The 21,844-nt window shown below is 41.3% G+C and overlaps 1 protein-coding gene across 9 annotated transcripts in view, besides 3 other annotated features; it reads right to left on the reverse strand.

Moving 5' to 3' along the window:
- DGKI (diacylglycerol kinase iota) overlaps nucleotides 1-21,844 on the reverse strand; it is a 465,938-nt gene that overhangs the window by 286,106 nt on the left and 157,988 nt on the right. For all 9 annotated transcript variants that reach the window (XM_047421022.1, NM_001321708.2, XM_047421021.1 and 6 more), the window contains one exon: nucleotides 11,415-11,510. In XM_047421022.1, the coding sequence (XP_047276978.1) occupies nucleotides 11,415-11,510 (96 nt within the window). The remainder of the gene's footprint in view (nucleotides 1-11,414; nucleotides 11,511-21,844) is intronic.
- Nucleotides 3,745-3,794: an enhancer, noted in NCBI's record as "active region_26723". NCBI's record gives its function as "activates an Ori minimal core promoter by ATAC-STARR-seq in GM12878 lymphoblastoid cells {active_cell/tissue: GM12878}" and the evidence as "EXISTENCE:reporter gene assay evidence [ECO:0000049][PMID:35858748]".
- Nucleotides 3,815-3,864: an enhancer, noted in NCBI's record as "active region_26724". NCBI's record gives its function as "activates an Ori minimal core promoter by ATAC-STARR-seq in GM12878 lymphoblastoid cells {active_cell/tissue: GM12878}" and the evidence as "EXISTENCE:reporter gene assay evidence [ECO:0000049][PMID:35858748]".
- Nucleotides 3,925-3,974: an enhancer, noted in NCBI's record as "active region_26725". NCBI's record gives its function as "activates an Ori minimal core promoter by ATAC-STARR-seq in GM12878 lymphoblastoid cells {active_cell/tissue: GM12878}" and the evidence as "EXISTENCE:reporter gene assay evidence [ECO:0000049][PMID:35858748]".

Raw genomic sequence — 21,844 nt, forward strand, 5'->3', positions numbered from 1 at the left:
GCAGGTCAAAGTTGCCAGGTGTCTTATAGTAGAGTAATTGAAGGATTGATATGCACGCAAATATGGATATAAATATAATTACAGGTACACAGACACTAATAAGTAGAAATTCATACCATTAGAGCCCTACACACATACACACCCATGTGCATTCACAAATTTCAAGCAGACAGACTTGAGTGAAGATGGGCTAGACATATTACAGAAGTCATAACAAAACAAGTTAATAGAAAATGGTGTTTCTATGTCTTGGTGGCTTTCTCTAGTTCTGAGGTAGCATATCACGGGTACAGCAGAGATTTGAGCCTTAGTATAAACTAGGAAATCCCAAACACTTTGCCTTTTTCAGTCCTTGCTGGTGTGACAGTACCATAAACACCATCTTACTTGTATTATGAATCCTGACATGTTTCCATTATCAGTTTACTTTGTGGAAATAGAATTATTTTCTTAAAGTTCACAGCTTAATATTTCTAACCAAAAATTTAGAGATATTTGCTTTGATATGGAATACTGTATTTCTAGTTAAGAAGCGATATCAAGCTGTGGTAAGTTAGTTATCCTTTCACTGCCATTTTTCACATTCCAAGCTATTTGGTGACATAATTAAGGCAGTCTTCCAGCCAATCTAGTCCAGGAAGACCCACAGACATCTCAGTCATTGTTTACTCAACACTGTACCTCCAGTTGGTAATGTTTTCACTGACACATACACACCCGCCCATTTCATTTTTTAATGAGGACATCATACCCACAGAGATTTGCCAGGAGGCTAGCTGTGTAATATACACATTACCCACACTGTAAACAGAGCTCACTTCTGCCATGCCAAGTAGGTACGACTTACCCAGCTAAGGGAACTGAGACCCTATGAGACTGTGCAACTTGCCCAAGAAAGACTAGCTAAGAGTGGAAGTCTTTCTAACCCAAAGCCATCTCTATGTGTTACAGCTTACTGTTTTCCTCTTTTCTTTGCTAGTGGTAACCTGGGGGACCAAGACTGATGAGGATAGATAAGAAATATGATATTTAACGTGATTGCTTCATATGATCTGTTCTCATGAGATCCCTAGGGGAACTGACTAATGACAACCACACATGACCCCCTGTGCCAAGATGGCAAAAAGCAGTCTCTGTTCTCCACGAGAATGAAATAAAATGCACTGCAAAAGGCATGGCACTGGCTAAACAGGGCATAAAACCTTACACAAGTCAGCTACCTGCATGTGTTAAATCTCCCTCTAAAGAGTCTTAAAAAGGAGGCAGGAATTCAGACGTCCTGGATTATAAATATAACAATACTTAAATGGCAGGGTTGATCTGGTGACAGGTGTCTGTGTGTGTATGTGTCTCTCTCTCAACAAGCACCTCATTGAACTCATTCATTCATTCAATGTTAAGTAACACAGGGTAACTATTCAGTTCAATCACTTATCCTCAGTGTGGGGAATACAGGAGAGGACAACAAGGGCAGAGTTCCTGAGCTAAATGGAGCTTATGCTGTAGTGTTGGAGACAGATAAATAAGCGAGCAATTTTTAAAAGTATGATAGCTAGTAAGTGGTGTGTGCTGTAAAAGGTTGACAGAATGGTGAAGGAGCAAGAGGGGAGGGAGAGCCTGACTGTCAGCTAGGCTAGTTGTTTCACCTCACAAGCTCAGTCCTTAACTTTCCTCGAGGAAACAGAGGTAGTAGGTGATGCTAAGACTCTCCAAACCTAGTACTCTGAGTTGTCTCTTTTGGCTCTGTTTCTTGGAACCACTTTCATTCAAGGAGGAATGATTATAGTGGTCAATATTTATTGAGTGCCTGTGATTTGCCAGCCTGCTGTTATATATGCATTAACTCTTTTAATTTTCACAACAACCACAAGAAGCAGTATAATCCCATTTTCCAGATGTAAAACTTAGGCTTAACGAGGTTAAAACAAGGACCAGTGTCACACAACTCAAAGCCTGGAAATCAGGATTCAAAACCAGGTCATCTGATTCCAAAGCTCACACGCTTCATCAACACATTACCTGCACCCCCTTAAATGAAGGCATCAATGCAGGATTTTCCATTTCCTCGTGTTTTTAAAGCATCACCTTCTGAATATGTATCCACCTCATCAATGTGGCAGGGAACAACAACAACAAGCTCCTAACAAACAGAGACAATACCAACTTTGGGGGCCAGTAGTGGTTTTGGAGTAACCGATAATGCAAATAATGCTTCCATCAAGATTGAGTGCCTCTAAGCAACAGGAATACTGGTTAAACCCCAGTACTGTGGGTCCCTGCCCCTGGAAAACATTGCAAGAAGAGAAACCATTTCTGTACACCTGGGCATTGCCTAGGTAACATGTAAGCCTTATGCTAAATCAGATGCAAATTATTTTTATTACTAGGTAACAGGACCATACAATATCCAATAACAACAGAACTGCTTCACAGAAACACACACCCTTACACAAACACGCAAATGCAGCCTCAATCTAAAATTGTCATGACAGAAAAGATGACAATTATTCTCAGAGGTTCAAACTCTAAGAATAAAATAAGACACATGCATTTTGGCTTAATGAAAGTTTAGTATAAAGGCAAAAGAACTGCACAAAGATAGAAAAAAGTCATAAAGCTCTAGAGAGTGAGTAAGCCTCTGTGACTCTTTTTTTCCTTTATCTTTAGGTAGAAGTGAACAACCCAACCCAATGTGACTACTTCAAAATGTTGTTGTTATGGATCAGAGACGAGTATGAGTCCTAGGAAAACTGCAAAGCATTGTGTGAGCATTTCTCAAATACTTTTCCACTGACTCCTAAGATCCTACAAAATGGCAATGGGTGTTCTGTGGGGAAATTATGGGTTCCACAATCCTCCCATCCACTCAAAAAAAAAGTAGGAAATCCTGCATACCTTATATGCTTCGTTGAGCTTCACAGGACCTATTTGCATATTAAAGTCATTCAGTGTTTTCAAAATTTATGGTCATGAGCTCCTTTTAATGTATAATGCCGTATATTGTTTTCTTTTGAGTTTAGTGTTCTCCAGAACACAATTTTGGGTCAAAAGAAAATGGGCTGTGCAAATAGACAATGGTACTATTGATCCAGGGTCACCTAGAAGTGACAGAATCCTAAAGATCCCTTGGCTTCATAGCCTACATATACTATCACTATCCCCATTACATGAAGTGAGCAGTATCAGCACTAGATTCTCCTTTAATATACAGACAGCACTTGGTACCAAATTATAACGATCCCCATGACAGTTGTCATAGTAACAATGGCTAACATGTCCTGAGGGTCTACCATGTGCCAGACACTAAGTGTGCACGTGAACGATCTCATGGAAATGCTGAGCTATCAGGCCAGACACCTAAAGGGTGACATTACTTCTGCCACTGAGAGCACCCCACTCTCTCCCTCTCTCATATCCACTGACTAGGAACTCAGTAGCAGACAGTGTGTCTGTGAAAATTCTTTTCTTATTTTTGTTGATGGCCACACTTTCCATGAGTCATCTTGATTCATTAGATCCTCAATATCCTAATGGTGAAAAAGGCCCCTGGCAGAGAATGGCTGGCACCCAAACAACTCAGAGAGCGGGCTTTGCCTCCTGGGCTTTATTGCCACACACGTGGTTCCCTCTGACAGCCTGCACCCAGCTCAGCCAAACTGCCATCTGGGGTGCAGATCATGAGTCTGCTGTGCCAGACAACTGGCATTTGAGGCTGACAGAGCAGGAGCAACATGCAGGCAGATCTTGGTGCATTCTAAGTCCAATGCTGGTGCTCCATGTTACACACCAGCTAGACCTGAATACGCAGATGGCCAGAAAGTCCCCAGTAATGCATGTCGGGCTCTGATTGCCTCATCTTCTCACCCACACACACAGATGCATGGGAACCAGCATTTTCACAAGCTGCTGCCTGGTGCTCATTCTTCCTGAGATGAAACAGACAAGGTGTAACTGGGCTCAAAATCATTTTCATTTTTAAACAGCAGAAAGCTGAAAGTTTCCTTCAAATAGGGCAGAAAGCTATGACCCTTGTACTCTTCTTGAAAGTTTCTTCCAAGAATCTAAGGACATGACCAGCATTCCTGTGAGCAAATATTGTGATACCCCGTTACAGACAATGATGAGGCTTCTGATTCACCAATAAGAAGACACAGCTTGTGAGATGAGATCACAGAATGGGTTACTTTGATTTGTCCCACTCAGTTGTCCGCAGTCATGACTTGGTAAGAATATGGATGCTACACACAGCAGCAAAATGACAGGTGAAGCCATAAGAGTCTTAGTGTTGGAATCATCCCAAATATAAGGCCTTGTTAAGCCAAAGTCCAACCAAATCTGCTAATTAGCTTGTTCAGCTCCATGACATTGAACCATAGTAGGTACAGAAGAGGAGGAAAATGAATACAAACATTTGTTAACTGATTTTATCCCTCTACTGATTCTGAGAGGTAGATTTAATCACCACTATTTTACAGAGGAAACTGAGGCTCAGAAAGGCAGAGCAGAACTTGCATTTTTATCTAGATCTTTTTGTCTCTGGATCTGTGAAGCTCTTGCCCTCCAATCCTCCAACTCTCATATCACATGGCCTCTCTAACTCAATTCATTCACTTTCTCAGTAAAACTGTATTTGGCAAATTGCAAGCAACATTAGAAGAAAACTTAGAATTAAGGCAGGGTGTCACAGGTAGGGTTAAGCCATTTTCACCAAACATTATCTACGAGGAAAAGACTAAAGCAAAATACAAGAACAAAACAATAACAAAAGCAAAGCAGTACCTATTAGCTGGTCCACAAAAAGAGGGTGGCATGCTCACATTTAAAAATAGAGAAGATATATCTGGTAACAGCATCCTGAAGTCTGACAGTTCCATTTTTCCTCTTACACAACATACACGCTCACTCACCTCACCATCTACCTACTCTGTTCCCTGCAGCTCCCAGCTTCTGACACCAACCTGCCTGTCTGCTCACTTACACCTCAACCACATACCACTCAACCTAAACACTCAAGCCTGCTGTAGACGCACCTGTGTGCATACGTGTCAGTGAGCCTATGTAACTGCGGTATCTGCATGGCTAGATAAGGTAACTCGACTTATAGAATGGCTACTATATTAGGTTCCTAGCACTGCCCTAAGAAAGCAAAGAAGCCATAAAGCTCTGGATAGTGAGTAAGCCTCTCTGACTCTTCTTTATCTTTAGGTAGAAGTGAACAGCCCGATATGACCACCCCAAAAGGTTGTTGTTATGGATCAGAGATGATGAGTATGAGTCCTAGGAAAACTGCAAACATTGTGTGAGCATTTCTCAAACACTTTTCCACTGAATACTAAGATCCCACTCAATGGCAATGGGTGTTCTGTGGGGAACCCAAACTGGGTAGCTTAAAACAACAGAAATGTATTCTCTCACACTCCTAGAGGCTAGAAGTCTGAAATCAAGGTTTCAACAAGGTTGAACACCCTTTTGAAGGCTTGGAGGGAGAATGAATTTCATGCCTGTCTCTTAGCTTCTGAGGAGAGCCACGATCCTCGGAGGGCCTTGGCTTGCAGCTGCCTCACTCTAATTCCTGCCCCCATCACCACATGGCCTTCTTCTCTGTGTGTGTGTCTCTGTGTGTCTTTTTTTTTTTTTTTTTTTTTTTTTTTTTTTGAGAGGGAGTTTCGCTCTTTTTGCCCAGGCTGGAGTGCAATGGCACGATCTCGGCTTACCGCAACCTCCGCCTCCTGGGTTCAAGCGATTCTCCTGCCTCAGCCTCCTGTAATGCCGCCGGGATTGCAGGCATGCATCACTACCCCGGCTAATTTTCTATTTTTAGTAGAGATGGGGTTTCTCCATGTTAGTCAGGCTGGTCTTGAACTCCCGACCTCAGGTGATCCACCTGCCTCGGCCTCCCAAAGTGCTGGGATTACAGGCATGAGCCACCGCGCCCAGCGTGTGTCTTCTCTTATAACGGCACATGTCATGCTGGATTAGGGCCCACTCTACTCCAGATGAACTCATCCTAATTAATTACATCTGCAACAACCCTATGTCCAAATCAAGTTACATTCTGAGGTACTGAAGTCCTGAGGCGTCAGGACTTCGACATATCTTTTGGAGTACACTATTTAGCCCATCACAGCCACTACACACCAGGTGTGAGAACCAGGCCACGGTTTTTGGTCCTGACACTCTGTTTCTGAAGTGGATCACTGTCTCTCTACCCTGACAGTGAAGAGAATCATCTGTAGATCTGGTTGTTTGTTTTTGACATCAGGCTGAGTCCCACTCCCTAGAGATCCTGATGTGGTACATCCAGAATGGGAACCAACACTTCAAAGGTAAGATTAAAAGGTAAAATGGCATAATTGACTATAATGCTCATCCAGAAATAAGAATCGCTGTGGTCTATCTCAGTAGCAATACTTTAAATCAGGAAACTGAGGCAAAAAAAGGCAAAGTGATATGTCCCAACTTTACTCAGTACATAAATGGAACAGCAGGTTTTCAAACCCAGGTCAGTCCACACAAAGTCTATTTCCTTCTGACCACCCATGCTACCCATCTGTGCCTATTCAGGTCTGTGTGACCACGGTGGGTGTATAATTTGCATATCAATGTAGGCAAGTTTCTTTCAAGTCTGAGTAGGTGCACGATGGTATGGACTCCAGGGATTACTACTGGAGGGGTGAGCTCCTTTAGGTACAAATATTTGGCTAAACATGTTTGTATAGCCTAGCCCCAGAGCATGAGAACAGTTTCTATCTGGCTGTGCCCGCTAAACGGTGAGGCACTGGGTACTCAACCCAGCTCACAAACACTGACAGAATAAATGAATGAATAAATGAATAAATGTACATAAAAATAAATGTCACCAAACGACAGTGATTCTGGCTGGAATTTTATTTCAGGTTTCCAGTGCCCATAATCAGGTTGGGAAACAGTGATCTTTCTACTTCAATTTCATTACTTTTGCATCCTTTTATATTTTATCTAGACCAGAAAAAGAAACAGTTGCTAATTTGGGAACTGTTGCCAATTTGGGAACAAATTTAATTCCATTACGTATCTGCTCACAGGTATTCTACAGTATTAAATGTTGCCACCAGAGAGCTGTAGAACAGGAAAAGGTCACGTGGTTTAGTTTTAGCCCTGAAGCTTGGGAACAAACTCTCCTACAGCTGTTCTAGGGTTTTGGAAGTCATTGCCTGGCTTTCAGTACCCTCCAATATCAGTCCCCAAATATCAATCCACATGGCAGCAGGAGGTCCCGGCTTTGCAGGACAGTTTTAGTTTTACATAGATGCCCTAATGTCCCATAAGCTAGGGTGATGCAGTTCTGGTTTATCCCTAATGTTACGGCATCATTATTAACAGCAGCCACTTTCACCCTCAAAAGTGTCTTGGTTTAGACAATGTATTCTATAGTCATGCTTCCTAAGCCCACCAGTATTTACAATATGCACTCCAAGTTTTGTTTCAAAAAACCTAACTCCATTCTTACTTCCATTTTTCTCTGACACATGCTCATGCACGGCTCATGATTGCCACCTCGTTTGTACAGAGCTTGCCCCACCTCTGAGTCTGCTCATGTTCCTCTTCCCTGCCCGAAATGTTCTCCTTCTTCAAAATCACTTATGTAAATCTTACCCATCTTTCAAAACTGAGCTCGAACCCCATTTCCATGAAGCTGCCTCTGTCTGCTTCAACCCACACTGACTTCTTCCTTCTCTTAACTTCTACTTGTGACATTTGCTTTGCTAAAATAGGGAAGGAGTGAAAGGCACATCGTAGATGATGGATTCACTCCTCCCCTGAGCACTCTGCCTGTACTTTGTTTAGGAGCCTGCAGGTAGTACCTGGTTATGGTAATTTAGTCCCAGCCCCAACAGGTAGGCTTTCTTCAAAGGTGGTTCATTAAAAGAAATTAGAATATAAATACATGATCTGCTTATGCATACTTTTTTCCCAAAAAAGACTGTTGTTCTAAGAAAACTGCAAACAGAGCATTTAAACTAAAGACTCGCCTGGAGATCTCTGTGACCTCTTGCCCAAAGCAGCTGAGAGTCCCCAACTACAGCATCCTTGAAACATGGCCACCCACGTTATCCACAAACACACATCCCACCAGTCAATCTCTCCAGGCACCTTGTTCGCTTGCTGGGAAGCTCAGGCTGACAAAGTTCTTTCTTATCATACGGTATTTCTCAAAGTTAGGTTTGCGACCCATCTGCATCAGAATTATTTGAGGTGCTCGTTAAAATCACAGACTCCCAGCCAGGTGTGGTAGCTCATGCCTGTAATCCCAGCAATTTGGGAGGCCGAGGCGGGTGGATCCCCTGAGGTCAGGAGTTTGAGACCAGCCTGGTCAACCTGGTGAAACCCCGTCTCTACTAAAAATACAAAAATCAGCTGGGTGTGGTGACTTGCACCTGTAACCCCAGCTACTCAGGAGGCTGAGGCAGGAGAATTTCTTGAACCCGGGAGGCGGAGGTTGCAGTGAGCCGAGATCACACCACTGCACTCCAGCCTGGGCAGCCGAGCAAGACTACATCCAAAAAAAAAAAAAAAAAAAAAAAATCGGAGACTCTCAAGTCCAACTCCAAGCATACTGAATCAGCATTTGGAGCAAAGAGGGAAACAGGAGTGTGCATTGTTAGGTTTCCCAGGTAATGTTTGTTTATTGTTATAAAGTTAGAGTCAGTGGATTCTACCTCTATGACTTTTCCATTTCTAACAACAGATAGCAAGTCACTTCTCTTTTCTTCAAATTAACTCTTCAAATACTGGAAGACATCTCTCTGCCTTCGCTCCTAATACTCAGCTGTAGCCCATGTAACCTAACATTTCTTTACAACAAGCTTCCATCCCCTAAACCAACTTGGGCACCCCACTCTGGGTCCTCTGCTGCTTGCCAATGTCTCTCTCAAAATGGGATGCCCAGAGATGACATGCGCCTCACAGTGCGAGGTGGGGAGAGAGACTGAGAGGATTTTCAGTGCTTTCAGTACACACTGCCAATTTTGTGAAGGACAGTGTATCTACTTACACTCCTGGCAGCTGATGATGAGCCTGCCCATTTCAGCCTAAACCAACCAGCAGCAACTATTACCATTTTATAAATCTTTGCTAATTTAATAGGCACATGAAGTTGACTCCTGAGTTGTTTTAATTGGGATGCCTTTGTATTCTTCAGATATCTATTGGCAATTGGTAGTTCTTTTGTAAATTTCCTGTCCTTGTCCTTCCTGGGTTTTTTCTTTTTTTTCTTTTTTTGCCTTTAATTCATTAGGTCAGTTGCTGAGCCAAGTAAGCCCTTTCTATGTATCATCTCACCAAACCCTCAAAACAGTGTTTCCCCCACTTTATAGGTAAAGAAACTGAGCTTCAAGAAACTTACAGCAGTTAGGTCTTCAGCTTCCTCACTGATTTATTCCTTCATTTAACCAACATTTTTTTGGAGGAGAGTTCTTCATCTTTCAGACGTTTTGTAATATGAGTTAATAGGGCCAAGTACCTGGTATGAAATTATGAGGAAGCTTCAGAAGGAAACTGGGAACGTTCTCAACTCTGTTTCTTCCTACTTCTACCTAAAATTTCCTTTATTCTCCTTGTTGCTTTTCCTGGCCTAAAGGTATTAGTGAACAAGTAATAATCATTCAGTGGATAGCAATGCTATTTACTGATACAAGGTTTAAAGAGGATATACGTATCTGTTCATATATTTGTCAAGAGAGGTAGCCATCCCCTAAAAAGTAACAGAAAGGGATTAAAGGGAGCAATTTGGAAATAAGGGATGACTCTGTATAAAATCATAGTCCATCAGTAGAAATTGTTCAAAAGTATATATGTAAGTAATACTGGCTTTCATTTTTTCCATTTTTTATTATCTTACATCCCAGGACCAGTGTTTACGCAATTAACCAAGACACTAATGTTAATTCATTATTTACAGCATTTTAGTCCAAACAGCTGAGCTTCTCATGGATTTCGTTAATTCAATCCAATTCCATGCAATTATACTTTAATTAAAAATACATATGCATAAAGTTGAAATCCTGATATTTAAGTCAATTAAATTTACAACAAAATTAGAAGAGAAGCAAATGATTAATTACAGGTCTAGAAACAAAAATAAATTAATAAAAAAGAATTTAATCCTACTCTCTGTTTTAGAAGGTAGCCAAGGCCCAAAGGTCACGAGTTCTCAATGTCACACACTGAGCAGTAACACTGAGATTCAGCTCCAGGTTTCCCGACTTCCAATCCAGAGCCTGTTCATCTGGGTCTTTCCCTGACATTGATTCCCAACTTCACTTAAACAGGCCCTGTTCTCCCCAGAACTCTCAAAACTCTCCAAATGAAATTTATAAACAAGGAGTTAAAACAGCTAAAGCAACAAAAAAGGTCTTGGTTCTGGGACTTTGTGCTTTTAGGCAGCCTGGTTAAAATCGTTGGGGGCTATACATATCCTTCTATAAGCTTTGATGGAAACTCGATTTATTCCATATTGGTTATTAACAAACACATATTCATCTGCAATTTCAAGGCCCTACATCTTGCTGCAAATATTTCTTTCACATAATAAACAAATATTTTTTTAAAAAAGAAAAAAGCATTCTATAAATTCTGGTGCTAATTTCCCCAAATAAGAAGGAATACATCTTTTATCTCTTCTTTACTATCCTAAGCTTCCCATTACTGTCTGTTTGGACCAATCATTTAAAACTACACACAAACTTTAAGTTCAATTTCTCAACACTGTGGTTTTGATATCTCCACAATGCACTACTTGGCAACCACACTTACCTCACAACATAAAGAGAATTTTAACCCTCTAAATAGATTGTTCTAAATAGGGACACAAAGCAAATTTTAAACAACAAAAGTTAACTCCAATTGACCTGACTGTTGATTGTTTATATTATTTCTAGAATCGTATCCTCCAGAACTTAGTCTGGATTATTTGTTAGCCTACACCCATTCCCAGCACAGGTGTTTCCCTCTCTTTCCACCTTCACCCACCAGTAAAGCCCCCACTGTGGCCACTTCCCTACAGACAGAGCCCCTTCCTCCACACACAGGCCTTGGCCCCACACCAACAACTCCTCCATAAGGAGACACTACCTCGTACACATTTACCCTCTGCCCCCCACCAACACACAACAACCTACCCTGGGCATCATTATAAAGTAACACATGACACCAAGGCCTGGCCTGCATAAGTGAACCCTAAAACCATTACGAGCGACAACCTGAAAGCCATGTTAACTTGAGAAACTCTCTGCAAACCTTGAAAACATCCGGAAAGTTTTCCATCTCACAAGGACAGGCTCGTTCAAACCTCCCCTTGGAAATTTAGGCAAGGTGACCCCTCTATTCATTCAGATCCACAGGCCTTCCCCCAGCAAGACGGAGCGCACACTCACTGCAAATCTGACTTGGCAGTTCTCCTCTCCAAGGTAGCAGAGGTCTCCCGAGACGTTGGTCTCCAGCCACAGGTGTTCTCCATTCACGGCATTCTCCTGCAAGGAAAAGACCCACCTGACATCAATTTTTTTTTTCCAGGGATAAGGAAAACTATTTCAAATTTAGATTTGGGATACAAGAAAGTTAGTGAAACCAAGGAGTCTAAACATTTCTCATTTGACCACTAAAAGTACTGCTAGAGTTGATTCTCCCGAAATTCTAAAAAGGGAGAAAGGTGTTTGGAAAAACTTTGAGCTATAACTAAAATAAACATTAGGTTTATAGCTGCTTTATCCATGGAGGTGGACATTTTTGAAACATATTCAACAAATGAGGAAAAAACACCTCTAAATAGTTCGATGTCAAACCTTATTCACCAGGCCCACCACTGCAAATGTCATGACAACTGAGACTAAAATTATATTAAAATTTGACTTTGCTTAGTGAATAAGCTTAACAAATTAGCTAAAAAGGAGGATGGTAGCATTAAAGTATTTTAAGTAAAGACAGTTTGAAAACACAGTTATACCAGTAATAGGTAAATTATATTTCTAAGGGCAGAGGCTTCTTAAAACTAAGTCCCTGTGTACTCAAAGCATAATACGTTTCTGCTAATTCACATCTTACTAATTCAGTAAGGTCTTCACCCAATTACTTCTCAATTTTTCAAACTAAATGTTATTGCTTCTAAAAATATTCATATACTTTGGATGGGGAACAGAGCTGCTAGAATGTATGACCTGATGAGCAACAACCCTATTTTCCAGAAATGTGTAGTGCGGTATTGGGGAAAGGGGGAAGCAAACTGTTTTTTTTTTTTTTTAATCGTACGATGAATAGAATTCCATATTCCTTCTTATGGGACTCTATCTTGGAAATTATAGATTTATATATTAATTGTATATTTTGCTCATTTGCTTAAAAGGAGCTCTGAGCTGTTAGGGAAAGTATTGTATTAGATTAACCATAAAGAAACAAGACTAAGTCTCCATGGCTTACAGGAAAATTACTCTTGTTTTTATTTTATTCATCAGATGTACATGGGCATGTAATTATTTTTTATGGGGGATACTATGGACTAAACTGTGTCTCCTCAAAAATCATATGTTGGCCAGACACGGTGGCTCACACCTGTAATCCCAGCACTTTGGGAGGCCGAGGTGGGCAGAACACTTGAAGTCAGGAGTTTGAGACCAGCCTGGCCAACATGGTGAAACCTCATCTCAACTAAAAAAATACAAAAATTAGCTGGGTGTGGTGGTGGGCGCCTGTTAATCCCAGCTATTCAGGAGGCTGAGGCAGGAGAATCACTTGAACCTGGGAGGTGGAGGCTGCAGTGAGCCAAGATCATGCCACTGCACTCCAGCCTGGGCGACAGAGTGAGACTCCATCTCAAAAAAAAAAAAAAAAAAAAAAATTCCAATGTTGAATCCCTCACCCTCAATGTGACAGAATGTGGAGATGAGACTTTGGGAAGTAATGAGTTCATGGGGGTGGAGCCCTCATAATGGGATTAGTGTCCTTATAGAAGAGACACATGGGAGATTCCCCTCATGCACACACCAAGGAAAAAGCCATGTGAGCACACGGCAAGAAAGCAGCTGTCTGCAAGTGAGGAAGAGGATTCTACCCAGGACTGGAATCTGCCAGCACCTTGACCTTGGACTTCCCAGCCACCAGAACTGTGGGAAATGAAGTCTGTTGTTTAAGCTAACAAGTCTGCCATTTTGTTATAGCAGCCTGAGCAGATGACTTCAATAAGAAATTCTATAGAATAATCATGTAATGAAAACCCATCTTATACATGAGCCACTTTTATTATAACCTACTCCAGCAGTGTCCACACGATAGCCCTTTGAATCTCAAAGCTTAGTACAGCAAAGCAGAAATATATACCAAATGGCCAGGAGCAGTGGCTCATGCCTGTAATCCCAGCGCTTCAGGAGGCTGAGGCAGGCAAATCACTTGAGGCCAGGAGCTTGAGACCAGCCTGGACAACATGGTGAAACCCCATCTCTACTAAACATACAAAAATTTGCCAGGCATGGTGGCAGGCACCTGTAATCCCAGCTACTCAGGAGCCTGAGGCAAGAGAATTGCTTGAAACCCAGGAGGCAGAGGTTGCAGTGAGCTGAGATTGTGCCATTGCACTCCAGTCTGGGCAATGGATCAATATTCTGACTCAAAAGAAAAGAGAAAAAAAAAAGGAATATACACTAAATGACATTTGCTGGGAAAAAATACCAAGTGTCACCCATCTTTTAAAATAAACGTATTTCTTCAGATTCAGATAGAACACATTTTCCTTTCAGGGCCTAGTGACTCAAATAATTCTGGGGTAAGAACAACCAAAATTTGTATTGTGACATGTGATGTAGGTGCTTCAGGATCCAAGAAAGGTGGGTCCAAGTCCTGGACCACAGAAGTGAGGCAGGAAGGGACAAGAGAATGTGAAAGTCACTAGGGATATAGATGTCAAGGGCTTCAGGACAACGCACAGGGAGACCCTGGTGGTAGGAGTGCACCATCCACATCTCCCAGTGCCTCAAAACCATTCCTAAAGGGAGAGCAACACTGACCAGGATCATTGCCCTCTACATCAAAGGGTGGACACCTGTTCACCAAAACTTTTTCTTCTCTACTGGTAATTTTTCCCTGTTGCAAGTTCAATTTTTTCAAGGAAGTCAATGGGAAAATAGGCTTCACCTCACAGTCAACCTTGTGGGACAACAGCAGATGCAAGAGAAGCATAGCTATGGGTTCAGACCCTAAAAGTTTTCAGATAGTGATGGATGATGACAACACTTTAAAAAAAGTAGAAAGGCACTTCTTCGCAAGGTATCCTGAAGACATCAATCCACACAACCTAAAATATTCTACTACTGGGAACTTTTCTCCAACTCTAAGTTATAACCATTTATACAGAATAATGCCTTTTCATTTTGTTATTCTTTAATTTATTCAACAATTCTTTATTCGATAACACTGGTGCCAGGCACTGAGATTCTGTGTTAATCAATGGAGAAAAATCTACCAGAGAAGATGGAACTAGATGCATAATAACAGCAGCCAATATGAGGGAAACCACAGCAAAATCCCACTAACTACTTTAGAAAGTGAAGTCCAAAATGTAGCAGTGGGTAAAATGTCAAAACCTACTGATAAAGCAATGAGCTTTCAGCTCCAAGAAAGTAATCTCTAAGCCCATGGAAAGTCCTGCCTGATAAAAGTGTTTTTGTTTGTCTGGCGGCCTTGGGCCATAAGGTATCAGCTTGACCCCCAGAGGGGCTAGAGGCTATTGTCAACCAAATGGGCAGTCAACGCTGTCTACAGGACCAACCCCCACTTAAAACTCTGGACATCAAGGTTCGAATGAGCTTCCCTGCTTGGCTCTATGCCATGTATATTATAGCACATGGTTGCTGGGAGAAGTTAGCTAGTGAACCATGATTCTACGTGGAAAGGACTGTAATAAACCACAAATGTGAGTATTAACAGCTTTCAGGGAGTTCTATGAGTGTTTCTAGTGAGTTACTGAAGCTGAGTGTGGTCTTGGGGGTCCCGAACTTGCAACTGATGTCAGAAGACAGGGTAGTCTTGGGGACTCTTGAATCCTGCATAAAGTTGTCTAGCCTGGGTGGCATTAGCACAAGAATGCAGTAGACAAATGAACTATTTTTGTTTTCTTCCTACAATTCTCAGGAACCCGTCTCCAGCTCCATATTAATCAATGTGAGCTTTGGAGTCAGACTTATTGCCCAATAGTTGTATGACTCAGGGCCCTTCTCACTTTCCTAGACCCTATTTTACTCATCAGTCACATAAAAATCACTGTACCTCCCTTACAGGACTACAATGATGTTTAAACATAAAAATGCATAAAGCCCAATGTTCCGCATAAAACAAGAAGTTAATAGATGTTCATTATATTTATTATTGTTGCTATTACTCTCTAGTTTCCCTTCTTCCTCCCAATCCACAGATGTTAGCATTAACTACGTTTCTCTCCTTGGTCTTTGTGGCCAAGACTGCTAGCCAGTCCTCAAAATAATTATTTCTCCTTTTCCTGGACACATAGTTAGACTTTATTTCCCCAGTCTCTCTTGCAATTAGGTGTGGCCAAATTCTGAACAGTGAAACAGAGCAGAAATTCCAGACTTGTTCCATTAAATCCTCCCACATACATTCCTCCATGATTTTTTGTCTTACTGGTCAATTGGGAAGTCAGGCTTTTGGAATCCTCTTGGTGAGATGTCAGAGTGATCCTCAGCATGGGTCACTGAATAGCTATGTGAGAAAGGGCCTGACTACCCAGCCAACCACCTGGAATAGTCTTGGTCTATGACATAGGTGAGACACTCTCTTGTATTAAGCCATTATACATTTGAGTCTTTCATTTGCTGCAGAGCCTCATTTACCCCAGCAAATGCAGGCCTCTTCCCTTTGCTTTTATTTTTGTCTAGGTTTCTTTTCATTATCTGAATATACCCCCAATTACTTACTATACGCTGGACAGTGCATCTAATTTCGGAGTCTTGTTTTCTTCTGCTCTGAACTCTGACACCCTCTCCGATTTATTTAACGTTAGTATAAATTTAGTTTCCGCCAAAAGAGAGCCATGATTGTGCCTCTCCCTTGTTCAGAATGCTTAGATGTTTCCCTATTTATAAAATAAAATCCAAATTCAACCTGGCATACTAGACTCCAATAACAGCATCAATCACTCTTTTATCCTTGTCACTCTTTTATCCTTGTCACTCTTTTTGTTTGTGTTTGTTTGTTTGTTTGTTTGTTTTTGAGACAGGGCCTTGCTCTGTTGCCCAGGCTGGACTGCAATGGCATCACCACAGCTCACTGCAGCCTCAAACTGCTGGATTCAAGCAATCCTCCCACCTCAGCCTCCTGAGTAGCTGCATTACAGGCATATGCCAACACACTGGGCTCCCTGTCACTCTTCTTGAAACATACCTCGCATTTCCCTTTTTGGTGCCACGTTTTTGTTCATTCTACTGTCCCTACCTGGAAACATCTTTCTCTCTTCTCTACACATGCATCTCGAAATACCATCTCAAATAGTATACAACTCAAAGAGTCTCCATCTGTGCCAGACAGAAAAATAACTCTCCTATTTCTAAACAAAGATAGCACTTCTTCTGTACTTGTGAGTGCTGAGACTCACAAGTCTGTATAGCTATATATATATTTACATTGATAGATTTACATCGATAGATCTATTCATCTAAGAGTGGAGATTCACCTAAATAGACATAAATACAGATTTCTAGATATAGGCATGTTTTCTTGCTCAAGTGCTACCGAAATTCTAGTAATGGTTACAGGCAAAAAGACAAAGGTGAGGTGAGTGTTTGAGACTGAATAACACAGATAAAGAGTATGCTCACACAAGAAGCAAATACTCCACACAAAATGAAGACGCTTGCTTATAAAAATGTTTTGAAACAATGAGAATTATAAATATGTATCCTATGTAAATGTCCTTACAAAATCAAAAAGGAAAAAGAGTGGATTGCCTCCCCTTGAAAATCTTCAGGACAAGAATTGATAACACACCATGTTGGATGTTTTAGATTTGTGCTGTACAATACGCAGATGGCTACTGAGGACTTAAAATGTGGTTAGCACTAACTGAGATGTGCTTCTCTTTGAACAATTCACAGCAGATTTTGAAGATTTAGTGTGAGAAAAGAATGTAAAACATCTCCCTAATAATTTTTATGTTGATTACATGTTGAAATAATATTTTGAATATATTTGCTTAAACAAAATATGGAATTAAAAATAATCTTACCTATTTCTTCTCACTTTTTAAAGTGTGGCTACTAGAAAATGTATCATTACAGCTCATATCTATTTCTACTGGACAGCGTTTGTTTAGATAATCACTTGCCTCGGGGCAGAAGATTAGACCGAGACACTTCTCACAGGTCTGTGAAGTTACAGAATTCCATGATTTCCCTCGGCAGCCAGGGTGATTTGATTTAAAAACTCCCCCGTTCTCAGAAAATAAAGGAATGGTGAGAGTCCCTGAAATTAAGGTCGATTTGTCCCTTCATTTACGTGGCTGACCAGGACTGGGATCTTCACTGATTTATAGTGAGTAGTTCCTTATGCGCTGCTCAACAAACAGTCTCATTTATCGATTAATCTGACTTCAGTTTTTCGAAATGGGGCTGGGAGTGGGGAAAGATGTGGGGCTGTGGGTGATGACACTCAGACCTGATGAAGAGGGGGGCCTGACGCCCAAAATTAAGGTCCAGGTCTCCTAGGACTCACAGGAAACAGGACTGAAATGAGAACATGCACACGGACGAGCACGCACGCACAAACACGCATGCACACACACAGCCCTGCCTCCTTCTGGCTTTTCATTCAAGGTTTCTAAAGATAAGATGACCTAGTTTCATAACCCAGTTTAAACCAATCCCACATGAAGACTCTGGTTCCTTAATCTTGTCCCTGAACCAAACTGTGAGGCAGTGCACCAACTGTGTGATGTTTCTATCTGCCTCAGAGAAAGTGTTTCTTAGCATCGTCAACTAAAGGAAAGGAAAGGAAAGGTGGTTCGGACTGAAGATCTGGCTTTGTTTGTGTTGAGGCTCTGTTTTCCACAGCTCTTGGGACCGAAGAAAGTTTGCCAATGAGGAAGGAAAACAAAATAAAATCAAGGGTGCTGGGTTTAAAACCAATGTGCCCTTTAAGAAAGATCTTGGTGGCTTTTCCACCACTGTTCAGGGGGTTGTTTTAGGCAGTGTAATGGGCAAAAACAAATTATGAAATGGTGGGGACAGATGGGAGACACACTTCCTGGGCTCTCTGCTGCAGTACTACAAACAGGGAAGAGTGCTGGAAGTCCAAATGAAGTCTCCATTGGAAGGGAGACATGTGACATTTAAAAGAAGATACACATTATCTGTGGAACAGACATGCTTCTAAATGGACTAATTCACTCTAAACTGGGAACTTGGAATCCATCCCAGGAGATGAGAATATTTTTTCCTTCTTAGGCATTACTTCCTTCCTTTCTAGTAATTTAACTTGTTTTACCCCAACTGGCTTGGCTGACAGGCATCATCCAGTGTCAGAGGGGGCAGCTGCTGCAGGCTGTCACTGTGGAAGTGAAAAGATGATGTCCTTGTGAAGAGTAGGAAGGCCAAAGTACTGTGTGCGCCTTAAAATCTAACACAATGCATTGAATTAGGAAGGAAATTTAAAGACAGTTACTTGGGATTAAAACGGCATAAATCCATTTATTTTTCAAGCAGACTTTGGAGTCATGCCTACCAAGCCTTTCAGGAACTAGAGATTATCTGAGTGCCTGTCAACTCCCAGCGAAATATCCCCTTCTCACTGATTGAGCAGAAAAACTGTAATCAATTCATCCCCTGACATCAGTAACCAAGCAGCTACTAGGTCTATGATGCTGCACTCTCCACTGTGAAGAGAAAACAAGCAGAAAACATTGCCCCTCCTTTTAAGCAGCCTGAAATCTGACAGCCACAAATAAGAAAGTCAAACAAAAAGCACTAATTTGGTTCTAAGGTTTGTAAGACAATGCACTACCAACAGAGAGGTGTTGTGAGGATACAAAGCAAAGACTACATCAGATACATAGAATCAGTTTGATTGAAAAGATGAGCATGGCTTGGCAGACAGCAAAAGAGAAAATCTCTAGAGGAAATAATTTTCATACTGGGTAGAGCCCAGTGTCCACTGCTGTCAATAGAAGACTCAGGCATCATACTGAAGACTGATCCAGATACTCTCCACACACCACTGCAGGTTCTATCCCTGACATGCACGGAGGAAAATGACTGTGCACAGGCAGCCTCAGTAAATATCTATTGCCGAAAAATCTTCAAAGAATGAGCCCATGTGGGACAGAGAATCCTAAAAGTCATAATAAGCCATTTGAGTAAAACACAGCAGGAGAGAATGTTTGGGATTTTGAGAAACAACCTAAAACTAAGAGAGAGAGACTGTATATATCACAAACAAGGAAATGAGAACATAAAAATGGAATGCTTAAAGAGAAGTATTAAGTTAATGTACCCAAAGCATAAAAACTGTCTGCTATAACAGCACCCTCCTGGCCAAGAAGTGCAGGTGCCTATAGTCTATGCGCACTAAATCAGTGCTCACCTGTATCTCAGGCACCCCACAAACAGACTTCTCCTCAAAGCCTTTTGCCAAAGTATATTTAGGAAATACTTGTGTCCCTTCAGATGACTTTGGCACATAGGCTAGTGTCAGAACACGGCCCTTTTGGGATTCCACAATAAGTAGAAACTTGGGGACTAAGATCCTAACTCCAGGTTCACTCTGACTTTGCAACTTCAGACACACCATGAACGTTTTTTTTAATCTTTTTCCTTACAGATGAAGGAAGAAGAATAGAGTAACAGAAGCCAGAGAATCATAGTAGTAGACGCCTTTGAGATGACCCCCATTGATTCCCCTGAGCCAAAGTGTTACAGAGCAGAGAGAATTTCCACCCAAGAGTCAAGTGGGGAAAGGGAACAACAGGACCCTCGTCGTCCCTGCTGGACCCCATCTGCCACTGTGGTCAAGACCTTCAGAAGCACAACTTAGCACTATTGGGGCCCTCTACCTTATCAAAGGCAAGAGACTGGAGTTCCCCCTACCTTTTTTATAAGCTCCTGCCACCTTCCTTTTTATTTGAAAGAATCAAAGAGGCTCCAACCCTTTTCATTGCTCAATAAATAGTAATACTGAATTAAATAAAGATTGCTCATTTCCATACATTGAGTCCAGAAGAGTAGACTAATGGTAGAAGATGAGGGAATCAAACAAGAGAGTGGAGGAGAGGGAATGGCACAGAGAGGTGACTGTTTTTGCACCTTAAACAGAACAAAGAAATCCCTGGCTGGCTCCTTGAACAGAAGAGCATACTAAAGTAATACAAGTAATCTAGTTTTAGCCAAAGAAAAAGTCACTGAAATATTTTTAACAATCGGCTTTTTCCTCTTTTCTGAAACAAATGCTTTACACGATTGTAATAAATGAGTGTAGTGTGTTGGTCACGGTTTGCTTTCTGTTTGCTGACACCAAAATCAGCCCACAAAGATGTTGGTTTTTTTCCAGAGTAACATCTCATAACTCCTTACACATCAGATCTCTAAGCCCTCAGATGGACTGTCTCAAGGAAGGGCTTTCGGTTTTCCCACCATTGTTAGATGTCAGCTAAGTGTTTCGTGTCATGCCATACTTTCAACAGACCTCCAAGATGGGGTACCTAAAATCAAAGAAAAGGGGAGAAGAGGGAGGGATAAAAGATCACTAGGCACAAACCCAGCCTTCATTCCTATTTGTTTTTCCCTCATTCTGTACTGCAGCCTCCCACCACTGGCCAAAAATACCATTTTGATGAAATATTAGAGTACATACCTCTCTATAGGAATCAGAAAATAATACCTTGTGCCAAGCTCTGGCTCAGGCAGGACACTTCTTTTAAAAAGCATTTTCTGATAACTATTTCCAACATCAAATGGGAATGGAATGTCCTTTTGTTGCATTCCAGTGACGTCCTCATTTCCCTGTATTTTCGTGTTGATTTCCTTTCTGCCCACAGGATTCTAAGACCCTTGAAGGCAGAAACCGTATCTTCTTCACCTCAGAATCCCAAGTAACCAATATAGATTCTAGTACAAAGCAGGAACTCAACAAATGTTTGATGAATTAATGAATTCATCAATTACTTTAACAAATAAATCTGCTGGCTGCACAGTTTACAAAAAAAACTTTTTCACTTATTGTCACATTCGATCCTAACAATGTCCATGAAATAGGGCCATGATTATCCCCATCTACAGATGAGGACGTTGAAGCTGAAAGAAATCAGTGACTTACCTAATGTCACACAAAAGGGCAGAGAAGGGATTTAATGAATGTTCGCCTCTAAATGATTAAACTACCCCTGGAATGTCTCACCTCAAAGAAGGCCCTGCTGCTGCAGACTACAGGGTTGTTTGGAACATCGTGAATATCAAACCAACTCTTTCGGTTCCTTGATACATAATACACTCTCATCATTGCTCCATGCATACCTCTCTTAGGTTTTATTTATGTTTATGCATTTAATTGTTTTTAATTATGCAAACACTGGTGCAAATATACTCTATTGTGGGTTAAGAGTTTATTAAATAGCTGTCCTGGAATAAAGAAGTAAACTCCAGGAAAGGAATATTCTTTCTATACACCAATTCAACAGGCTCAGGCAGCATCTGAACACTCTCAGGGTAACAATATCTCCACCAAGGGAGAAGCTGTAGTTCAAGCACATCCAGTCTTTTGCCAGGCACTTCATAAATGTGGGCAGCATTTACATTGGTATGCATCCAAGATGTAAAAT

Source organism: Homo sapiens, chromosome 7 (assembly GCF_000001405.40).
Source record: "Homo sapiens chromosome 7, GRCh38.p14 Primary Assembly".
NCBI lineage: Eukaryota > Metazoa > Chordata > Mammalia > Primates > Hominidae > Homo > Homo sapiens.